The following is a 16,314-nucleotide window of genomic DNA, read 5'->3' on the forward strand; positions in this document are numbered from 1 at the left end:
ACACACGTGTGTACACATGAACACACACATATACCCACACACATACTCTTAAAAGTCCCAGCCTCCATGGCCATCTGTCATTACAGTCACCCTCACCCTCATTTCAACCCTCCTCATCCCTGTCAGACACCAGTCGATCAAGCCATGCCTTTTGTGGTCTGTAGAGAAAAAATAGAGATGGAATTTGTTGCTTGGACAAGCAGAGGCGAGAATGGAACTCTCATGCAAAAGAACTGGGACAAAACCAAACATGCCAAGCCAGAGAGGCAATCACACGGTGGGGAGCTGCAAGGCCAGACGTGGGTGAGTGGTCAAGGAGGGGAGGGCTTTCCCTTTGAACAAGACGCCCGACCTCTATATGTCCAATTCTGCACCAGGCTTCGCTGTGGAAGATGGCAGGGAAGGGGCAGGTTGTGCCGGCACTTGAGTTGCCTGTTCCCAATGGTCAACCATTCCCAACAGAGGGGGGCAGCAGAGGGCTGATCTAGGACCCCGGGTACCTGAGGCCTTGTTTCGAGGCGAGAGGGCTGGGCTGGCTGGAGCCTGGCCCAAGCTAGGAAGAGGGCTGCCTTGGCATGACCTCTTCTCTCCTCCTCGACAGGCCTGTCCTTCGCAGCTTACCATCAGTCACTCCCTGTTGGAGCCTCACTGTTGTCCAGCAGGAAAGGTATTCTAGCAGCTCAGCAAGGAAAAGGGACTCTCTGGAGGTCATACAACTTAGGGAGCCTCCAGGCTGGGACCTGATTCCCCTGACTCCCGGTCCCTGCCTCTGCAGAGTCGCCTCCCTGCTCTTGGAGCTGGAGTTGCCCTGTGTAAGGCTGAGGATGGGGTCAGAGCCCCTCCCCTCCCTGCCCTCCTCCTGCTTGCAGGGATACCTGTGGCAAGCAGAGAAGTGGAGGTGGCAGGCACTCCGCGACTGGGGCGGTGGGGAGGGAGGTGAGGTAATGAATGTGGACGGGAGGCGGAATGAGCGATCCATCTTTGCATGGGAGGGGAGGGGGCTGCGGGCGTTCCCCCCACGCACTCACACACTCAATCAGGCGCTGTCAGACCTCTGGCCGCCTGGCATTTTGGTGAAGAATCTCTCAGCTAAAAATTGTTGTCAGTCCCATTTCCTCGTTATCAGTGCAAGGGCTGAGGCAGCGCCCGGGGATTAGCAGGAACGGCAAGCGCCCGCACCCGCCATCCTCTGCCGATAACACTGGGCCTCCCGCCTCACCTCCCCCATTCATCATCTTTAGCACTGACAGCCCATCCCAGTCCCTGTCCCCATCCCCATCCCCTTGTGCTTCCCGCATATCCCCACTATGCTGCTCAGCCCAGCTCCTGACCTCCTGAGGGAGCGAGGCCTCCTGAGGAGGGACAGGATTCAACCAGGCCTGTGTGACCTAGACCCACATGTGGCAAAAGGGTTTGGCCAGCTTTTGGGGGTTGGGGAGTGTCATGAGCTGGAGAGAGGAACACTCGAGAGGATGCCTGCTGACAGCCTGCCTCTGGTGGGCTCGGCCTGCCCACCTGTGGTGCTGCCGGCAGTATTGGAGAAGGGATTCCTGCATCCAATGGGCAGCTGAACTAAGGATTCCAGGGGCCTCGCCAGCCTGAAATGGACTTCCAGATTCTGGGAGCTGTGGAAAGGAAGAGCCAGAGGATGCTTCCTCCCAAGCCTAGGAAGAGTATGGGGTTGAGGGCTTCATTTCCACCCCAGCAAGACCACAGCCCCCTCGTCTTGGCCATCCCCAGCGGTTTTTATGGCCCGTTTTATGGCCACTGTAATGGCCCAGGTCAAAAGCTTCAGGGAGCTGTATTCTGGGAATTATGCAAACGCGGAGCAGGCCCAGGGCCAGAGTATGGATTTTGTCATTAAACCTGGGCAGGCCATGTCGTTAGTGCAGTAAAACCCACGTCATGACCACAGGTCTCAATATAAAATTATAGAGAACACAGCGGGGGAGGGGACACAGGGGGCCCATGGCCATGCTGACACTTGCCACTCTAACCCCTGAGAAAATGGGGGTGGGATGGAGGGCAGAGGCTGCAGAGTCCCTTTGCTGATCCCTGCCAATGCTATTCCTGAAGCTTGGAGGCAGGAAGAGGGCCTGTTGTCCTGATAGGGAAACTGGGGCCAAGCTCAGAAAAGTAGAATGTCCCTGTGGCAGCAAAGCAGATGAACTGAGTACAGGTATGTGGGAATGCTGACGCCTGGTCCCCATGCTTGGAGTGAGACATCTGGGCTCCAGGAAGCCCTAAGAACCAGACTTGGTGTACCAGGCTAATGGGGGCTGAACCCCTGATATTTCCAGCTCAGCTCAGACCCCATGTCTGGGATCCACCTCTTTCTCCATTCTCCTGTCTTACCATTGCCCCCTTCAGACCCCAGTCCCTGCCTCAATTATCTGTTCCAGCAACCTGTCAACTCCCTTACTCACTCCTCGTGCCTCCCACTGAGCATCACCTCGCCCACAGATCCTGCCAACCTTGCTGGCCCCTTCCCACCCTCCCACAAATCCTTCATATCCTCCTCATAGTTCTCACCAGCACTGACTGCAGTCACGGGCTCTCTTTTTGCCTTTCCTACTAATTTGTGTTCTCCTCGAGGCCAAGGATGCATTATATTTATCTCTGAGCTCCAGTTTCTCCTAGAATAATACCTGACGTAGAATAATTGTTAAATGTTTGCTGAGTGAAAGAATGAAGTAGTGAAATCAAAAGCCGAGTACAGAGGTCTGTGTCCCATTCTGAGCCTCAATTGCCCTAGCTGTAAATAAAATGGCCTGGAGAATGTCTAGGGTCTTGTTCACCTGTGAGATTCTCTGGCTAACTGAAGGCAGGAGCAGAGCTGAGACTGGACGCCTCATCTCCCACCTCCCAGACCTGGGCCACATCTGCTGCTGTTACTCAGAGCTTCCCTCCAGCTGTCCCCGAGCATCTGAGGCACAGCCACCTGATCAGTAGGACTTCCTCCCCTCCTCAGAGACCTTGCCACACGGACTGAAGCCTCCTGGATGGCTGGAGCTGCTGTCCCAGCCCTCCAAAGGTTATCTGGCTTCTAGGACAGTCTGTTCTTCATCCCCACCTTTCTTCTCCCCCTTTCTCTTTTCCTCTCTTTTGCTTCATCATGGAGCATCTAGGCTATGCCAGACCTGATATAAATTGTCTATAAATATAAAGATAGATAAGAAATGGTCTGTCCCACAAGGAACTCACAACTTATTCATTAACTCGTTCAATTGCCTGATATACTTCTAAGGTACAGCTTAAATTTCACTTCTTTGGTTAAACCTTCTCTTTTTTCCAGTCCTCAAAACTCACAGCCAAACGAAGAATTCCTCCTTCGTTTTAGCCCTCAGATGACTCTATCTGGGCATCCAAGGGAGCCGTAATCATCCTCAGTCTGGTGTCAAAGGGAGGTGGGTTTTGTGCTCAGCCTGAACTTGAGGCTTCCTCAAGTACAAGGTTGCTAGATTTAGCATATAAAAATATGGGACATCCAGGTAAATTTAGAAAATTAGAAAATATGGGACATCCAGGTAAATTCTAGAAAATGATAAATAACTTTTAGTATAAGTATGTCCCGTGTAGTACTTGGGACATGCTTATACAAAAAAAAAATTTATTATCTGAAATTCAAATTGAACTGGGCATCCTGTGTGGAATCTGGCAACCCCTTAGGCAACCATCTTGCTCATGTCTGGCATGGCCTTTATCTCTCTGAAAGCTGATTTTGACCCCCTCCAGGAACCAGTGGGAAGAAGAAGAAGGAAGGAAAATCTGGGCTCAAACTAAAGTCCTTTGTGCAGTCAGAGCATCCATGGATATGCAGGGATGTTTCTAGATTAATAGGGCTCCTCAACCCCACACCTGTAAGCAGAGGCCACAGAGCATCCATGGATATGCAGGGATGTTTCTGGATTAATAGGGCTCCTCAACCCCACACCTGTAAGCAGAGGCCACAGAGCATCCATGGATATGCAGGGATGTTTCTAGATTAATAGGGCTCCTCAACCCCACACCTGTAAGCAGAGGCCACAGAGCATCCATGGATATGCAGGGATGTTTCTAGATTAATAGGGCTCCTCAACCCCACTCCTGTAAGCAGAGGCCACAGAGCATCCATGGATATGCAGGGATGTTTCTGGATTAATAGGGCTCCCCAACCCCACACCTGTAAGCAGAGGCCACAGAGCATCCATGGATATGCAGGGATGTTTCTGGATTAATAGGGCTCTTCAACCCCACACCTGTAAGCAGAGGCCACAGAGCATTGTGTGTCTCCACAAGTGGCAACAGAGGCGGTTTAAACATCCCAGCCGGCCAGGTGCGGTGGCTCATGCCTGTACTCCTAGCACTTTGGGAGGCCAAGATGAGAGGATCACTTGAGGCCAGGATTCGAAACCAGCCTGGTCAAAATAATGAACCCATCTCTATAAAAAAAATAAATAAATAAGGCCAGGCGCAGTAATCCCAGCACTTTGGGAGACCAAGGCTGGCAGATGACTTGAGGCCAGGAGTTTGAGACCAGCCTGACCAACAAGATGAAATCCCATCTCTACAAAAAATACAAAAATTAGCCAAGTGTGGTGGCACATGCCTGTAATCCCAACTACTCAGGAGGCTGAGGCAGGAGAACCACTTGAACCCAGGAGGCAGAGGTTGCAGTGAGCCAAGATCACGCTACTGTACTCCAGCCTGGGCAACAGAGCAAGACTCTGTCTCAAATTAATTAATTAATTTAAAAAAGAAAAAAAAATAGACATCCCATGGGGGATGTGTCCTAATAGATTTCTGAGAGGGGTGGCTGGCTGAGGAGGTACCATTCATGGCCACAGCCTCTGGAGCTGCAAGGAGGAGGGGTGCTCGTGGGCTCTGAAACCCTCAGGCCCCTCCTCTAGGCCAAGAAGCCCTAGAGGGCAGCAGCAGGCTTGGGTTTCAGGACTGGGATGCTGGGTCTGCCTCCTGGACTAGCCCAGCTTACGCGTCTGTCTGTTCTTCTCCCCTCACTAGGTAAGAAGAAAGCAGCGGCATTGTTCGACAGCCAGGCCCCAATTTGCCCCATCTGCCAGGTCCTGCTGAGGCCCAGTGAGCTGCAGGAGCATATGGAGCAGGAACTGGAGCAGCTAGCCCAACTGCCCTCGAGGTAAGCCACCTCCCAGGGAGCCTGCCTGCTGGAGGAGTCCACTCAGGGTTCTGGCCACCGGATCCCAGAAGCAGCCGCCTGGCCCATACCCCAGCCCCTCGGGAAAAGACAGGACCCTGCCACCCTTCTCCACAACTCTGTTTCAATCCTCAGATCTTTCCGCTGAATGGAGCCACCTTCCTCTTCTTGCTCTATTTTTGGAGATGGGAGGAGAGTGACCCCGCAGGCCCCAGCCTCAAAGGAAAACATGAGAGGAGCTAGACAGGGGTGAGCCACTGCCAAAGGCCCAGCACTGCCATGTTGAGCCTCAGAGCAGAATAAAAGCAGCAGGTCCTAGGCCTGGCAGGCCCCTCAGAAGTGCAGCCAAGTCCTTCCTCCAGTGGGGTGGACACTACCTTCTCTATGAATCTCAGTGTCTGAAAGATGACAATCTTAAGAATGTGCTCAGGTGTGTCCCCCACTGTCCCACCCCACCTCACCCCCAGCCTCCCTCCCTTGTCCCTGCCTGAAGGACTGGGCTGAGCCTCCTCAAGGGCCTGGTGGAGGAGCCAGGTTATCAAAAAGAGTAGAGGAGAGGTGTGACAAATTACCTAAAATCTTAGCAGTTTAAAGCAACCATTTCATTGTGCTCGTGGAATCTGTGAGGTCAGGAATTCAGATAAGGCACAGAGGAGATGGCTGATGTCTGCTCCATGATGTCTGGGGCCTTAGCTGGGAAGACTTGGTGGCTGGGAGCTGGGTCATGTGAAGGCTGCTTCCCTCACATGTCTGGGGGTTGATGCTGGCTGTCAGCTGGGACCTCAGCTGAGGCTGGAATCAAAGCACCTACACAGGGCTTCTCCATGTGGCCTGGGCTTCCTCATAGCTTGCCAACCTCGGGATGGTTGGACTTCTTGCATGGCAGCTTTGGGCTCCAAAAGCAAATGTTCCAGCCAACGAGATGGAAGCTGGATCACCTTTTATAACCTAGCCTGAAAGTCACTGAATCTCACTTCCACTGTATTCTATTGATTGAGGCAGTATTAGACCACCCAGAATTCAAGGGGAGAGGACATACACCCCCCTTTTGATGGGAGGACTGGCAAGGTCAAATTGTAGAAACGTATGTGGGATGGAAGATATGGTTGATGCTGTCTTTGGAAAATATAATCTGCTACTGAGGGACGGTCTGCCCCGCTCCTCCCAGTCCGACCCTTATTCAGTTCAAGTCATCAGACTTGACTGATCCTCCTTCCTTCTACCTTCTTACCGAATCCCCATGCAAGGTGCAGGGGATCCCATAGTGAATCAGAATGGTCCCTGCCCTTGGAAGTTCATAGCATGAGGGTAGGGAGGGTCAGGCAGTACAAACCCAGAGGGATGGAGACTGCTATACGGGAAGAACTGGAGCTTGGGGGTATCAAGGAGGCACCAAACCCAGCACAGAGCAAAGAAGGCTTCCTCAGAAGGTAAGGCCTGAGCTGAATTTTGAAGGAAGAAATATTTAGTCATCTATCGCTGTGTTACAAACTACCCTAAAACCTAGCAGCTAAAACAACATACATGTATTATCTCAGTTTCTGTGGTCATCAATTCAGGAACAGCTTAGCTGGATGGTTGTGGGTAGTAGTGGCTACTGGCTGGGAGTCTCTCATGAAGCTGCAGTCAAGATGTCAACCAAGGCAACGGTCATCTGAAGATCTGACTGGGACTGCAGGATCTGCTTCCAAGATGCTCACTCACATGGCTGTTGGCAGGAGGCCTCAGTTCCCCCACATGTGGGTCTCTGCATAGGACAGCTTGAATTTCCCTATGACATGGCAGCTGACTTCCCACAGAGCATGCAGTCCAAGAGAAGACTAAGGAGGGTGCCACAGTGCTTCTTATGATCTAGTCTGGGAAGTCACACACTGTTGCTTCTACTCTATTCTATTCTATTCTGTTCACTAGGAGCAAGTTGTCAAGTCCAGCTCATTCTCAAGGGAGAAGAATTAAGCTCTAGAAGCTCTACCCATTGAAGGGAGGAGTATGAAAGAATCCATGGGCATATAAGACTATACCAGTGATAATAATAATAATCCTTGTTGAATGCTCACTATGTGCCGAGTACTTTACATTGCATTAATTTATTTAATCTTCACAACAACCCTCTGAAGTAGGTGACAATAATTGCTCCCATTTTACAGAGGAAGAAACTGAGGTGCAGAGGAGTTAAGTGACATCTCTAAGGTTGCACAGCTAGTAAGTGATGAAGATAAGATTCAAACCTAAAGTAATCTGACTCCAGTACCCATGCTCTTAATCACTCCCCATCCCTACCCCCCGCCCACACACACCTGGGATTGGCCTGCCAGTGGCAGAAAGTGGGAAAAAAAAATCCTTCTGCAGCTGGGTTCCATATTTTGGCTGTCCAGGAGGAGTCCTGTGTAATTTGCTCCCAGAGGAGGACTTCTCCTACCAGGGTCAGAGAATAGAGGTAGAGGCTAGAGGAGCATGCCCAGCCTTGTAAAAGCAGTGTGCCCCCTAAGGGCCTGGAGAATGCGGGCCCCCAGCTCTCTGTCTGCCTCCTCGGTGAGGGCCACACTACAGTGCAGTCCCAGGTGCTCCACACCTGCAATGTCCAGGGCATGCACTTCTGCCAACAGCCTTCCTTTTTCCACACCCCCACCCATGACTCTGCACAACCCCCTTATCCCTCACATCCTCCCAGAGCATCCCCGTGTCCATTTCCCCACCCCAAGCTCCATGCTTCTCACGGCTATGTCTTGCGTCCCTGCATCTGTACCCCTCACGTCGCGGCCCAGCCCAGCACCCCTACGCCCATGCCCCCTCCGTCTGTGCGCGCCCTGCGCCCCCGGCACGCGCCCCCCTCCAACCGGGTGTCTGACAGCCGGACAGCGGGATCTGCACAGCAAGTGAAATTCCCGTCGGATCGATAAAGCCGAAACGCTGGCGGCGACGGGTCGATGGTTTTATCTGTCTCGGCCCCGCCGCGCCCGGCGCGCTGACAGTTGGACCGGCCGGCAAAGGCGTTCAAGGGCAGCCGCGCCCGCGCCCCCTCCCCTCGCTTCTCTCGCCCTCCCTCCCTGCGGCCGCTGCGCCCACCGGACTGTGGGCTGGACCGGCCCGCCGCCGCCCTCGTGATTTATCTGGATTTTTAATTGGAAAAAATTTGCGAATTAATTGATTTCAGGAACTTGCCAATTAACATTGTAATTGGGTGCGTGATAAATTCCCAAGGAGCGTGTCAGCTCCCTCCGGGCTGACGGCCGTTCAGCGGGGAGCGCGGGGAGGGCCCCAGCCTTGGCTGCCCTTGCCCCGCCCCTGCCCGCTCTCGGGAAGCCAAGACAGCAGAGGAGGTTGGGAAAAGATGACACACTGGGGTTCCTGAGACACCCTCTCCACTCCTCACCATCAGCTCCCTGAGCAGAGGGGCCTGAAACCAGCCATTTCACAGATGGGGAAACTGAGGCCCGCAGGAGGGCAGAGCCTGTGTGTGCCTCACTTCCAGGGTCCTAGCAGAGCCCACATCAGGGCAGTTCCATCCACCAAAGGCACATCTTTGGAGGCTTCCTCCCCAGCTCTCCCTCCTCCCCTCCCCTCTCCTCTCTGCCCCAGCCCTTCTTTCCCCTGCTGACTCCTCCCTCTTCTCTCCTCCAATTGTCCCTTTTCCTCTCCTACCCTGCCTTTGCCTCCATTGCCTCCTTTGCCCTCCCTGGCCTTCTTCAGCTTAGCCAGCTCCTGAGTCTGTGGATGCTGCCGCCAGGTGCCCTCCATCAACCTGGACACGTCCCCCCTCCACTTGACTGCATCCTAAGGGGCTCTTCAGACTGGCCTGGTGTTCCACCTCCTGCCTCCCTTTGCCCAACAGCACAAAGCACACCCCACTAGGAGCAGGCTGCTATTTCAGACACACTCACGGGCTCACAGAGAGAAGCAGGAACCTTCCAGCTCCAGAGCCAGGGCTGGCTGTGTTTCAGACACAGACGCAAACATATACAGGACATGCAGGTGCACACACACACCCATTCCAACACACAGATGTGCCCACACACACACCCTGAAAGAAGCCTTGTCCCATGGGTGTCATTCCCACAGGTACATGGGTGCACAGACACTTACAGGAAGAGCAATCAGAACTTCCTTTGGCAAAGTCCTTACACTTTTCAAAGCACTTTTCCATTTGAGATCAGAGGCTGTGCTAACACTCTCTCCCTCACCCCATCCTTTATCTTTCCCCTTCTCAACCCCTTCACAGGGGTTCCATCAGACCCCAGAACTTGGCCAGGTAGAACAAGGAGGGCAAAGTTAGATGGAGGACAGATTGTGGAGGGCCTTCAATGCTGGAGGACGTCCTTGATGGGGTGGAGAGTAAGCCGAACATTCATGAGCCAGGGTGAAGCCTGGTCAGAGAGAGACAAGTGGGAGGGGCATGGTTGCAAGGCCAGTGTGGAGTGTGGGTTGGGGGAAGAAACAGGAGGCAAGGGAGGAGGTCGGCCAGGGTCCAGGGGAAAGTTGGTGAGGCCGACCCAGGACAGTGGCAGTGGCAGTGGGGATGCAGAAGAGGGAATGACGACAGACCAGGTGGAGGAAGAAGCCACAGGACTTAGTTGGGGTGCTTATTGGGAGGAAGCTTTCTAACTTGAATGATTGGGAGAGTGATGGTGGCAGAGAAGCAAGTGTCTGAGGGAAGGAGGGGATGTTGGGCAAGCTCAGCCTAAGATGTCTCTGGGTTGGTGATGGGGGAGGGACTGGATGTGTGGAGAGACAGGCAGGGACATAGATAGATGGGGGCTGGAGGTTGAAGGGCGGGGGTGGAGGAAGGAGTTGGCCCCCAGACTTCCCAGTGGCCCTCAGGCAGGAGTTTCCATCCAGAGAGATGAAGTAGCCTTGGGCATGGAGAGATTGCACAAAGCTAAAAGTTGGGCTTGGCTTGGTGGGGCCTGAACTTAGAGAGATTCTCTGGGAGGTTTCTGGAGCCATTCAAGATCTGGCCTCTGAGCTGGGAAGCCAGCTCTCTGGCCAGCACTTTAAAAGGGCTCAAAGAAGCCAGAGGGAGGCTGGGTGACTCTAGAGAAGAGGCGGGGTGTGGAGATGGCAGTGCCCCCACCCCCACTTAAGCCTTATTTAAGGCCGGCCTCGGTGTTTGGTTGGGTAATGAACTAGATAAACAATTCCCCAAATAGATTAAAACGAAGTGTAACTTACAAAGGCGGCTGGTGATGATGGTTTATTCCCGGGCAGTGCACCATTTCTTTATTTCCAAGGATAATTCAGTGTAAATCACCTTAATTAAAAGTGTCAGCCCAGCCCATGAATATTGTACTTAGGAATGCGTTTCCTGGGTCCCAGTTATAATTTAAAACCCATGGATCACTAGGCAGCGAGTGACTGAGCAAGGGAGGAAATCGTTGGGGGCGGGCTGTGGAAATAGGGAGGGATGAAGGCAGAGCTGATGGGCTGGGCGGGAGCCAGGCTGCCTACAGCTGCGGACCTCAGACCTGTCTTCTATGAGGCAGGCCCTTCAGCAGACTCCTCAGCCTCTGGGGGCCAAGCACACTGGGAGGTAATCAGGTTGTTGGAGGGAAGATAGGGAGGGGGTCCCTTGCTCAGAGAGAGGCAAGGAGTCTCAGGTAGTACCAATGCAATGCAAGGGACAGTGAAGAGTGTTGCTAGGAAAAGATCCAGAGGAGTGGATCGCCAAATGACAGGCTGGGCATTCTGACCCTGAATGTCCCTGTTTCTGTTCACCAGCAGAGCAAACTGAAGCCCAGAGTCAGCAGTTCCCCTCCCCAAAGTCACACAGAAAGCAAAGAAAAAGAACTGGATTCTGCCCTCTATCCTAAGCCCTGAGTGTCTTTAGGGAGGCAGCATGGGCAATTAAAAGCCAGCACTGTGGGCTTGGCCAGATGCCAACTCAAATCCCAAACCCTCCACGGACTGTGTGACCATAGAAATGTCATTTGACCTGGTAGTCAACTTTGTAGAGATTTTGTGAAGTTTCAATGAGATAACACATGTTAAGGCCTGCGCCTGTCACATACAGTGGGTGTACAATCATTGTTCATTCCTTCCTTTTCTGCTGTCACCTGATCCAACTGGAGATAATACTCTTATCCTAGGCCAGGTAGAGCAAGCATGGTGTTGTACAGTAGATACCTCATTTCCGTACCAGAAATGGTGATGGCAGTATTTGTTTACTGAGTGAATGAAGGAGTGAACGAATGATAAAAGCCATAAACTCAAAAACTAGTTGCTCTCAAAAGCAGCTCCGTGCCCTTCTTGAATCCCCAGTGCCTACATCAGGGCTGGCATGAACCATTTATGAGCAAAACATAATTGAATGGAACCTGTTGTAGCTAGCCTTCCTAGTCTGTGATGCCCCCACTGTGTGATTAGACTGGCTGACAGCTCTGTTTTTACACTCAGACCTTGGCCTCACTCTGCTGCTGGGCCTGGTGGCCTCTGCACTGGGATATACATATGTTATGTGTGTTGTGCATCTGTGTCTACATTTGTGGGTACATGTGCATCTGGGTGTGTGTTGGTACACACAGGTGTCCATATCTACGCATGTGTTTATTGGACTTGTGCACATGAGCAGCTCTCATCTAATCTGTGTGGCTGTTGTGAATCTTTTTTTTTTTTTTTTTTTTGAGACAAAGTCTCACTCTTGTTGCCCAGGCTGGAGTACAGTGGCGCAATCTCGGCTCACTCCAACTTCTCCCTCCTGGATTCAAGCGATTCTCCTGCCTCAGCCTCCCGAGTAGCTGGGATTACAGGCGCCTGCCACCACGCCCAGCTAATTTTTGTATTTTTAGTAGAGACGGGGTTTCACCATGTTGGCCAGGCTGGTCTCGAACTCCTGACCTCAGGTGATCCACCAGCCTCGGCCTCACAAAGTGCTGGGATTATAGGCGTGAGCCACTGCACCGGACCATGCATCTGTCTTTATGGACATGTGTCTGGGAATATGCCTCTGTGGCCCTGTGCATCTGTATGCGTGTCTGAGTCTCCAGGTGTGACTGGTTATATCTGTGCCTGTTGGCAGAATTATAGAAAGTCTATGGGTATATATGTGTGCGCCTTTATACCAGGGTTTCTCAACCTCGGCACAGTTGACATTTGGGGTCAGATAATTCTTTGCTGTGAGGGGCTGTCTGGTACACTGTAGGCTGTTTAACATCCTCTACCTACTCCATGCCAGTAGCAACCTCCCCTCCCTCCGCTCAAGTTTTGACAATCAAAAATGTCTCCAGACATTGCTGGATGTCCCCTGTGCAGGTGAACATCCCTTCCCCTTCTCCCCTGTCCCCCACTGAGAGTCACTGCTGCATCTGAATCTGCCTGTGCTTTTGCTGGCTTGTCCGGTACGTTTGTGTCTGGCCCTGTGGGTGTCTGAGCTCATCTGTGGATGTTCCTTATGTCTACACTCGTTAAGTCCCTATGTGCCCCATGCATTCTGCCTTGGATGTGTGTCTGTGTGTTCTTCTGCTTTCCGGGTATATCTGCAGGTGTGCTGTACGTTATACCTCATATGTGTGTCTGTGCAGGGACCCTATGTGAATGGGCTGTGTCTGCCTCCGTGCATTCATCAGCCAGCACTTCTGTGAGCATGTGTGTGTGTGTGTGAGTGCACGCGCATGAATGTGCGAGCACAGATGTGGCAAGCGTAGTGGGGGCAGCAGGCAGGGAGGGACAGGAACAGGGATATTAATGTTTCTGAAGTGGATCTGATTTGATACGTCTTGTTCCATTGTCAGCATCTGTTTAGCAGGGATTTGTAATACTTTGTGGCTCTGGATCACTCATGCTTAGCGCAGGATGTGGCCTTGCATACCAATTTTGTTATTAAACACAGTCCTCGCCTCCCCCACAGCCCATCCATCACCTCCCACCCCAGCCCCCGCCTGCTCTGAGCCGCCCACCATATTTCAGGGCCCAGCTCCCGCCTGCCTGCCGCGCCCGATGCCGGAGGGCCTGGGGCTGACAAATTGAATCAGGGGGAGATCATTCCTGGCCTAACACAGTTTGCAGCATGTTGGAGGGAGAATTGACAAGAGCCCTGTCAGCTCCATCACCCCAATCCCACAGGAGCTAAGAGCGGGCTGGGAACAGGGGGTGGAGAGAAGGGGGTCTCCAGGACAGGCAGAATCTTCAGGGCTGATACGAGGAGTCAGGTAAAGCCCCTTTCTTCAGATCCACTGGGAAATCTACCATGCCTAGTGTCTGTGTCTCCCTCCCAGGGGCCAGCACTAGCCCTTGGCCCAAGAGAGAGGCTGAGCCACTCAGCCCATGAGAGAGGCTGGGCCACTGGGATTGAAAGGACTGGGTGGAGCTTGGCTGAGCTGGGCTGGGCTAGGCGGTCTATGCCTTCTCTGTCTTTGGGGTCTTCTTGCTACTCTACCGTTGCATGCCCTGGGCAGCAGGTAGAATGGTTACCCTGTTCTCTTCTTTCTTGGCAGCAAGAATTCCCTTCTGAAGGATGCCATGGCTCCAGGCACCCCAAAGGTAGGTGGCCAATTACATGTTTTCCTCCTGCCCATACTAACCTAGGCCTACCCAGAACTGGTTCCTCCTGAGAAAAAGGAGCTTTTCTAGTATCCTCAACTATCTCCAGCTTTTCTAATATCCTCAACTATCTCCAGGTCTTGAACATCATCCTGAGGCCTAGGGCTGCGCCGTGTGTGTGTGTAAGTGTGTGTGGTCTGTGCATGAGTGAGAGTATGCTCATCTGACTTCCTCCTCTTCCAGCCAGGAGAGGGGTCAGAGCCAAGAATGGCCTGGGAGATGTGGGTGACCCAGACACTAAGGGTGAGAAGACTCAAAGGAAGAAAGTGAGCTATAGCAGATGAAGAAAAATAAAGAAATGCAGGTCAAGATAGTGCAGGGCCCTAGAAGCCAGACTATGGGGGCACAGGGGTGTATGAATGTGCAGGTGTGTGCGTGTGTGTGTGTTTGTGTGTACTTTGTCCTGAGGGGAACAAGGAGCCAAGGAAGAGGCTGGACTCTTTTGGGGAGCTAGTCTGCCTCTCTGAACAAACCCTGTGGGAGAAAGACTTGAAAGCATCAGTTGGAGAAAGGGAAAGTGAAGAGCAAATATCTGGCTCAAAGGAGGGGCCAAGAGGCCTTAGCACAATGACATTTGTATCAAGAACTCCTCAAAGATGGCCATGGACACAGTGGGTACTACTTACCCAAAGGTGGTTTTGAGGGGATGGATACATGGGGAGAACCAAACCCTCACTCACTGAGTATCCCCTTCCCCATTCCTCGGTAGAAGACTGCATCCTTTTTCCCATAATTATTCAGAACAGGAGGCCACCCCTAGCCCATTTTATAGGGAGTGAGGAATGACTATGGAAGATTTGGGAATGGGTGGAATCAGTGAAGGAGAGTGTTTGGAGAGATTAGAGCAAAGGCCAAGGTGAGAATCTGAGGGACTCCTGCACTTGGTGTCAAGATAAGGTCCAGGAGGCAGGGAAGGAGACAGAGGAGGAACACTCAGTGAGTTAAGAGGGGCACAGGAGAGCATGGTATCTCAGGATCCTAAGGAAGAAAGTTTCTAAATGTATCAGGTGGTCAGCAGTCAAACAGGGAAAGACTGGAGAAGGGGCCCGTTGTATTTAGAAGTCTGGCAGTGACTGGTGACCTCTAAGAGGGCAGTTTTGGGAAAGGAGCCAGAGTGACAAGTATCACTTCCATGGGGTAGACCCAAATACCCTGCAAGCCTTTCAAAGGTATAGGAATGGATCGTGTACCTTCGTTTAGAAAACTGCTCACCTGCAGCAAGCTGGGAGAGGAGGAGCAGAGCACCTAGCCCTGCCTTGGGTGGGTATAGGCCTTGGCCAAGGAGTCAAAGCCCCAAAGAGAAAGGGGAGGCTGGGGGTGCCAGGCAGCTGCAGACTCACAGAGGTAGCGAGCTACACTCACTGAGTGTGGCCCAGCCTGCAGCATTTAATGGTGTGGTTCAGGAAAGTCAGAGACAAGCTTCCAAGTCGGCCACCACAGGTGACAGCTGACACCTGAGCATGGCTGGCAGGGCTGGGGACTTGGACATCAGTGAGGCCTGTGTTCTAAGGACAAACCCCTGGCAGACACAGTCTACCTCCGTCCCTAGCTCCCCACATATACAGACCCACACACACACTCAGGTCAGAATACAGACATAGGAAGTCTTAAAACATGTGTCCTGAAACCACAGACACAGGCATACTGACCATGAGACACAGAGATAAGGGACACTTGCTCACCCACTTCCAGATATATGCCCACACCCCCAAAGCTGAATAGTTCAGGGTCTATCCTCTGCCTTGACCTAGGCTTTAGGGAAGCAGGTCGTGAGTGGAAGAGGCGAGAGAGAGAAGGTTCAAGCAAGAGACTGAAAGGACAGGGAGAAGGAGGGAGGGAGGAGGAGGAGAGGGCGAGGGGGCCTTAGACAAGATTGATGGCCTCGTTGCCATTAAGAAAAAAATTAGCCGGTGGCGGCTATCATATTAAAGGGTGAAGAAGCCGTGAATTATTTTCTTAAAGATCTTATCGCTTACAATGATAATTTTACCTTCCAAAAGGCCACTTTTAATGAGGCGAAGAGCCAGGCAAAAAGTCATGATTTAATGCCGGGATTTTTTTTCAAAACACATTTTACTGCTTTTTGGTCCATGTTTAAAAAGCACCAGTGACCTTTTTTTATTCCGCTTGCCCCAGGTGTAATGCCGAGGCCTCTCAGGGCTTCTAACCTAGAGAGAATGAGAGAGAGAGAGAGAGAGAGAGAGAGAGAGAAAGCGCACAAACAGGAGCTTTTTCATGGGCCGGAGGTCGGGGTGACCCACACTGTTCCCCCTCGTTAGCATCTTCCTTGGGACCAGAGAAGGAGAAGAACATTGCCTGAGAGCACCTCCTTTCTGAGCTGAGGGCTGGGTCACCCATGAGGCCTCCCACTGGGCTTGGATGGGTGAAGAAGGAGCTCCACGTTGCAGAGAATCCCATGCAGGCCCTTTCCAGCCTCTTCTCTCCTCCAGCTCCTGGGGTATGGGCAAGTCAGGGAGCCCTGCCAGACCAGCAGCTGTCCCTTCCCTTTCCAGGGCCCTTGCCTGAGGATGTGCAGCATGGCCACCGCATGCGGGTCACATCCTAAGGCTCAGCCGGAGATGAAGGATAAATGGCTGCTCCATCTTTCCCAAATTGCTTTCTTTGGGCTG

At 52.5% G+C, this 16,314-nt stretch overlaps 1 protein-coding gene across 16 annotated transcripts in view, besides 2 other annotated features; it reads left to right on the forward strand.

The window, feature by feature from the left end:
- The window catches only part of RNF220 (ring finger protein 220), a 246,942-nt gene that overhangs the window by 204,381 nt on the left and 26,247 nt on the right, over nucleotides 1-16,314 (forward strand). For 15 of the 16 annotated variants that reach the window (XR_007061417.1, XM_047424277.1, XM_047424269.1 and 12 more), the window contains 2 exons: nucleotides 5,002-5,134; nucleotides 13,579-13,624. Coding sequence is in view for 15 of the 16 variants with exons in the window: in XM_047424277.1 (XP_047280233.1) it covers nucleotides 5,002-5,134; nucleotides 13,579-13,624 (179 nt within the window). In the remaining variant the exon portion in view is untranslated. Of the gene's footprint in view, nucleotides 1-3,345; nucleotides 3,408-5,001; nucleotides 5,135-13,578; nucleotides 13,625-16,314 lie in introns of those variants that run through there. The other variant, XM_047424281.1, reaches the window with a different exon arrangement.
- Nucleotides 362-923: an enhancer, noted in NCBI's record as "H3K4me1 hESC enhancer chr1:45075197-45075758 (GRCh37/hg19 assembly coordinates)". NCBI's record gives its function as "activates a minimal SCP1, AML or CMV promoter by ChIP-STARR-seq in primed H9 embryonic stem cells {active_cell/tissue: H9 hESC(primed)}" and the evidence as "EXISTENCE:reporter gene assay evidence [ECO:0000049][PMID:30033119]".
- Nucleotides 924-1,483: an enhancer, noted in NCBI's record as "H3K4me1 hESC enhancer chr1:45075759-45076318 (GRCh37/hg19 assembly coordinates)". NCBI's record gives its function as "activates a minimal SCP1, AML or CMV promoter by ChIP-STARR-seq in primed H9 embryonic stem cells {active_cell/tissue: H9 hESC(primed)}" and the evidence as "EXISTENCE:reporter gene assay evidence [ECO:0000049][PMID:30033119]".

Source organism: Homo sapiens, chromosome 1 (genome assembly GCF_000001405.40).
Source record: "Homo sapiens chromosome 1, GRCh38.p14 Primary Assembly".
In the NCBI taxonomy this organism is placed as follows: Eukaryota; Metazoa; Chordata; class Mammalia; order Primates; family Hominidae; genus Homo; species Homo sapiens.